Source organism: Homo sapiens, chromosome 8 (genome assembly GCF_000001405.40).
Source record: "Homo sapiens chromosome 8, GRCh38.p14 Primary Assembly".
Classification (NCBI taxonomy): Eukaryota; Metazoa; Chordata; class Mammalia; order Primates; family Hominidae; genus Homo; species Homo sapiens.
This window is the reverse complement of record NC_000008.11, coordinates 144,284,792-144,291,181: the sequence shown is the minus strand read 5'-3', so window position 1 is coordinate 144,291,181 and position 6,390 is coordinate 144,284,792. Positions and strand designations below refer to the sequence as shown.

The following is a 6,390-nucleotide window of genomic DNA, read 5'->3' as shown; positions in this document are numbered from 1 at the left end:
CACCTGGGCGCCCGCGCCCAGTGAATCGGTCTTGGGCGTGGGTGCAGCTCCTCTATCGGGGGGTCTCAGGCAGAGCGGACTGCGGGGTAAAGGACGGCGTCCGGGAAGCAAAGAAACGGGGGAGCGGGGAGTGGGGACGGGGCGCCCCTTGCAGCAGCCTCTCCAGCCGTTCCATTTGTGCATCCTGCCAATAAAAGGGCTCGGCTTGCGCTCCCAGTAAATGCTTAACCTACGTATACGCTAGTTAATTGCGTTTTTATGCTCATGGGATAGACATGAGAATAAGAAAACCTGAATAGAACCCAGTGTCTGCTGCATTTGCTGTATTAGAACTCACTGTTGCTCTCTGCTAGCTCAGCCCTGTCTTGGTTGTGGGGATCATCAAATTGGGTGGTGGAGGGGATGGACAGCCAGCCCCTCACAGCCCCCTCGGCCGCGGCCGCGCTGGGTTGTTGAAACTGCCCCATTGCTTTGTGAAGCGAATTCAACTCATCCTGGCTCCCATGGGCTGAATGGCCCGCAGGCCACTCTAGGCGCCAGGTTCTGCGACTTCCACCCTTGGACTAAACGGTCCTCAGGAGCCAGTTGTTTGCGCCCAGGCCACGGATGCCATTTCCACTAGTTATTGTGATTGTGTAGCCGACTGAATACCAAGACACATCATGACTCTGTGTGAGAGAGGCATTGTGTGAACACTCGGTATGCAATAGCTAATACATGCAGGTCGTACCTTAAGTGAGACTTGTAAACTATTAGGAAAACAGTAAAATCTAGAATTCTGCATTCAACTGCTTCCTTTTTCTTTTCTTTTCCTTTTCTTTCTTTTTTCTTTTTTTTTTTTTTGAGACAGAGCCTGGCTCTGTTGCCCAGGCTAGAGTGCAGTGGTGCAGTCTTGGCTCACTGCAGCTTCCACCTCCTGGCTAACTCAGCCTCCTGAGTAGCTGGGATTAGAGGTGCCCGCCACCACCAGCTAATTTTTGTATTTTTAGTAGAGATGGTTTCACCATGTTGGCCAGGCTGGTCTTGAACTCCTGACCTCAGGTGATCCACCCGCCTCAGCCTCCCAAAGTGTTGGGATTACAGGAGTGAGCCACTGTGCCTGGCCTTCAACTGCTTCCTAAGAGTCTAAGTTCTTGTTCCACCCTTTAAGGCCAGTGAAGGACCCGAACACTGTGTGTGCCGGTGTCACGCAGCCAGCAGGGCTCTGCTCAGAGGCAGCTGTGGTCCTGCTCAGAGAGAGGAGTGGGTGGGTTGGTGCGTGGTTGCGGTTAGAGTCTCTATCATTCCTGTGACTCTTCAGCCAATCCTTTCAATTTACTGATCAATCGTTGGTCCCAATCTGGTTAAATGAGGAGGCGTCTGCTTCAGGTGGTAAAAGCCCTTTGGGGACCCATTTCTCTTCCAGCCCCCAGCCCCTTTTCTAGTGACCTCTTGGCTCTGGGGCCTTGGATGCCAGGGTGAGGTGTGGAGAGGGCTCAGGCAGGCTGTCTGAGGGACCCAGTGGAGTCCAGCCCAGCCTGACCCCACAGGGCCTCCGGAGTGTCAGTGGGTGGTAGAGAGCAGTGTTAGTTTTGCGATGAGAGCTGAGCTCCAAGAGGAGGAGGTTGTCCTTGAAAAGCCCCTTCCCTGTGAGGTGCTAGGAATTAAAATGTCGATGGCAAAGGCAAGAGGCTGTCTTGTCAGTGGAGGTAGAAGATGAGGAAGGCTCAGGTTGGGTGGATGCTTTTGGTGGAAGTTTGTGACTGGAGGGGTGTGGTCCTGGAGGCCACATGGAGCTGCTGGTGGGTGGCTGGAGGGGCGAGAGGCAGCTCTCCCTGCAGTGTTCAGTGCCCCATGCCTGGAGGGGCAGTTGTCACCAACCCAGTGTTTCCTTGCAGCCCCCCCTCCTCTGCACCTCTCCTCTCAGCCACAGCACCGGCAGCGATTCTGGCGTCTCCGACAGCGAGGAAAGTGTGTTCTCAGGCCTGGAAGATTCCGGCAGTGACAGCAGTGAGGATGATGACGAAGGCGACGAGGAGGGAGAGGACGGAGCCCTTGATGACGAGGGCCACAGTGGGATTAAAAAGACCACTGAGGAGCAGGTGCAGGTGGGTGAGCGAGGAGCCCCCTCGAGGGCTGTCCCCCATGTGCAGGTGGCCTTGGGCTTTCTGAGACTGCCACTGTACTGCCTTCTCCACCGTCCCTCAGAACCCCAAGGCCGGCGTCCCTCCTTCACTGCACCTGGGGCACGCTTGGGCTCTAGGACGCTGGTTTCCATCCCCAGTTGCGTGCCGTTCCCAGGAACTCTGAAAATCCACATGCCTAGGCCCTTCCCCGTCAGACGATGCTCGGGCAACCCTCCTGGCAACAGGTTGGGTTTCCTTGAGGTGGGGATTTTACTGCTTGGAATCCAGTGGCAGGACCCAGCTGAGGAGGGAGCTGAGCAGCATGGCAGGGCTCAAGCAGGCGGCATGGGGGCCCCAACGGAACCCAGCTGGGCCTGACCCCACAGGGCTTCAGGGGCCTGAGCAGCCGACGGGTAGAGGGTTTAACATTGTACCTGTTGCAGCGATGGTGGGGGAGGATGCACCCTACTCTTATTGAGAACAACAGGAGAAAAGCATAATTTAACTAAAACACAGCATTTGTTATTTTTTTTTATTTTTTATTTTTTTGAGACAGAGTCTCACTCTGTCGCCCAGGCTGGAGTGCAGTGGTGTGATCTTGGCTCACTGCAACCTCCATCCCCTGGGTTCAAGTAATTCTCCTGCCTCAGCCTCTCTAGTAGCTGGGATTACAGGTACATGCCATCACGCCCGGCTAATTTTTGTACTTTTAGTAGAGACAGGGTTTTGCCGTGTTGGCCAGGCTGGTCTCGATTTCCTGACCTCAGGTGAGCCACCACGCCCGGCCTATTTTTTTTTTTTTTTTCTAAGACAGAGTCTTGCTCTGTTGCCCAGGCTGGAGTGCAGTGGGGCGATCTTGGCTCACTGCATCTTCCACCTCCTGGGTTCAAACAATTCTCCTGTCTCAGCCTCCTGAGTAGCTGGGATTACAGGTGCCCACTACCAGGCTCGGCTAATTTTTTTTTGTATGTTTAGTAGTGACGGGGTTTCACCATGTTGGCCAGGCTGGTCTCGAACTCCTGACCTCAAGTGATCTGCCTGCCTTGGCCTCCCAAAGTGCTGGGATTACAGGTGTGAGCCACCGCGCCCAGCCCAGCATTTGTTACTCTAAACATTCTGGAAATCGTTTGTAAGGATTTACTCTCCCAGTAGTTTCGGTGTTCTGGAAGTTACGGCCTTGGCAGAGGTCCCCGTGATAGAAGCCAAGGAACCATGGCTTGTTCATTGTGTGCTAGCTGTGTTGGGTTGGCTTGTTTGCTGGGAAGAAAAGATTTAAAATCACACTTAATTCAGGCTTTAATTATACCACTAACATACACAGAGAAAAAATGATGTGCTGTGTTGGCAGTGGTTTGTAAGATTATGGACAACTACGTTACCCCTTCTTGAGTTTTTAAAATGATACAATACTGGGCCAGGCACAGTGGCTCATACCTGTAATCCCAGCAGCTCGAGAGGCCAAAGTGGGAGGATCTCCTGAGCCCAGGAATCCAGGTCACAGTGAGCTATGATAGAGCCACTGCACTCCAGCCTGGGTGACAAGCAAGACCCTGTTTCAAAAAAAAATTATGAGATAAAACATCCTGGAAAATAATGTAGATATTGTAGCAGCACCATTCAGTAGGGTGGAAGCTCCCACTCAGGGCCCTCACACCTAACCCGTGAGCACAGTTAGTGGTCTGGTGTACATCTTTCTGGGTCTTCTGTCCCTTTTTAAATTAAGGATTTACACATTTACATGTTAATGATTTTTTTATTAAATTCTTTCAGCGGGCGTGGTGGCTCACGCCTGTAATCCCAGCACTTTGGGAGGCTAAGGTGGATGGATCACCTGAGCTCAGGAGTTCAAGACCAGCCTGGCTAACATGGTGAAACCCTGTCTCTACTAAAAATATAAAAATTAGCTGGGCGTGGTGGCGCGTGCCTGTAATCCCAGCTACTCGGGAGGCTGAGGCGTTAGAATCACTTGAACCTGGGAGGCGGAGGTTGCAGTGAGCCGAGATCTCACCACTGCACTCCAGTCTGGGTGACAGAGTGAGGCTCTGCCTCAAAAACCAAAACAATGTTTTCGCATAATAACATATCCAAGTACTTGAAAGGTACTAGAGGTGTCTGCGGAGTCTAGGGAGGCGCCATCTTCTCTTCTCGCTGCTTGTCTCCTGGCCCCTGGAGCACCAGGTCCTCTGCACTGCTGAGTGTGTGCTTGTCCTGCCCATTGCCCTGCTCGGGTTTCTGTGACCGCGTAACTGGCTGCCCCATGCAGGGTGTTTTCCAAAGTACCGCTGTCTGTGGTCTGTGTGCTCCGTCATCCAGCAGGGCCTGAGGTGGCAAGGCCGGCCGGGCTGGTGGGGCGGTCCTCAGAGTTCCCCACGCTGCTGGCTGCCCAAGTCCCTGCCTGAGGCCCTGCCCTGTTGTGGCGCTCATGCACCTGCCCGCGTGTCCTGTGCTTTAGCTGAGGGGCCGAGGCCCTGCCCTGCCATGGCGCCCGTGCATCTGCCCGCGTGTCCTGTGCTTTAGCTGGGAGGCCGAGGCCCTGCCCTGCCGTGGCGCCCATGCACCTGCCCGCGTGTCCTGTGCTTTAGCTGAGGGGCCGAGGCCCTGCCCTGCCGTGGCGCCCATGCACCTGCCCGCGTGTCCTGTGCTTTAGCTGAGGGGCCGAGGCCCTGCCCTGCCGTGGCGCCCATGCACCTGCCCGCGTGTCCTGTGCTTTAGCTGAGGGGCTGAGGCCCTGCCCTGCCATGGCGCCCGTGCATCTGCCCGCGTGTCCTGTGCTTTAGCTGAGGGGCACCTTGGGCCCTGTCAGGGTGTTTTCAGTTCTAAAGTGTGATCCTCATGACTGGGTTTAAATTCTTCCAGGTCAGGAGAATGAATTGATGAGGTGGGGGTGCTTTCAGCTTCTTAGTGGGAACCCCTCCCTTTTCCCCCCTGTTCATCAGAAGCCACCCAGGCACCTTGGCCTGCTGAGCGGCCACTCCCTCCTGCCTGCCCTCCGCGCCCCTCTTGAATGGTGGGAGTCCTTTCCCATTGTGCAGCCCTGCAGGTGGAAACTCAGCCGGCAGCCCAGTGCTGCCTCCTGCATGTTCTCTTGGCTTCCATGAGCGTGGCCACGTGAGGCCTCCCAGAGTGCCGCCAAGATGGCCCCGTCATGCCCAGTTAGTGGCCTCAGGTTAGGCCTGTTTCTGTGTCATCCCGAAGGCAGTCCAGGGCTCCTTACGCCTGTATCTCCGCCACCTCCCACTCGCATCGTGGGTCCACGGGGCCGGGCCACCAGGGGCTCTGCCAGACACCCTCGCCCGCCACAGCCATCTGGAGGATTCTGCCCCCGATGCCCCTGCCAGTGGTTGTGGGTCCTCAACCCAAGAACCCTTCCGTTGAGCGGCTTCTAGAATCAGTGCCCCTTGGTTCTGGGAATTCACACCACAGTGACACAGCAGCTTCTCCTGCTGCTAAGTGTCCTTGCCCTGCAGTGGGCGCACCTGGGATTCTGTGGTCCTGGCCACGGCCACTCGTGTGGTCTTGCAGATGGTTCATGGGCCTCGGTGGGTTACTTGGTAAGTGAGGGTAATGTCTGCCTGGCAGCCCCTGAAGGACGAGATGATGTTTTTGCTAATTTCTCTTCTGCCACGTGCTTCTGCCTGTCCCCCCACTCCCTCCTGTCGCTGTTTCCTCCACAGTGGTTGGCAAGACGTGGCCCCTGTGGCCTCTGCCTCGTGCATCTGAAGGACATCCCAGCCACAGCATCACATCAGACTGGAACAGTGGCGGGATGGGGCTGGGCATCAGGCAGCATGCATGTGTCATGTCACGGACACCTCAGGGACACACGAAGTCAGGCAGGGCGAGGGCCTCACTCCCCAGGCCGCCTAGCCCTTGGTGGGTATACCCGGCCCCGATGGTGCTGTGAAGAAGGGGCTGTGTGACTGGCATGGGAGGGAGCTGCGGCTTTTGTTCATCTCTGCCATCCTGGCAGCGATGTGGCTGATGGGTCACCTTCAGAGAGCCTCCTCCATAAATCTGATTCCAAGTGTGTGCCCCAAACCAACCCAGACCGGCCCGGGGCGTCCTGCGGAGAGCCCCACAGTGGGAGGCCCTTGTAGCGGGGAGCCCGGTGACTGCTGGGGGTCAGCTGCTGGCGGCCCCTGTGGAGACCTGGCGACCTGCCAAGGGCTCCGGACCTGCCTGGGTGGACCCAGGGTGGGCGTGCTTCTGGCTGCAGGGCCGGGCCACAGGCTTCCCTCTGGCTTTCTGCCCTCAGGCCTTTAGCATTGACATGCACACGACCCTG

General features: G+C 56.3%; 1 protein-coding gene across 1 annotated transcript in view; it reads left to right on the top strand.

Annotated features, from left to right (window-relative positions):
- BOP1 (BOP1 ribosomal biogenesis factor) overlaps positions 1 to 6,390 on the top strand; it is a 29,394-nt gene that overhangs the window by 257 nt on the left and 22,747 nt on the right. The window contains exon 2 of the mRNA NM_015201.5: positions 1,878 to 2,087. Coding sequence (NP_056016.1) covers positions 1,878 to 2,087 — 210 coding nt within the window. The remainder of the gene's footprint in view (positions 1 to 1,877; positions 2,088 to 6,390) is intronic.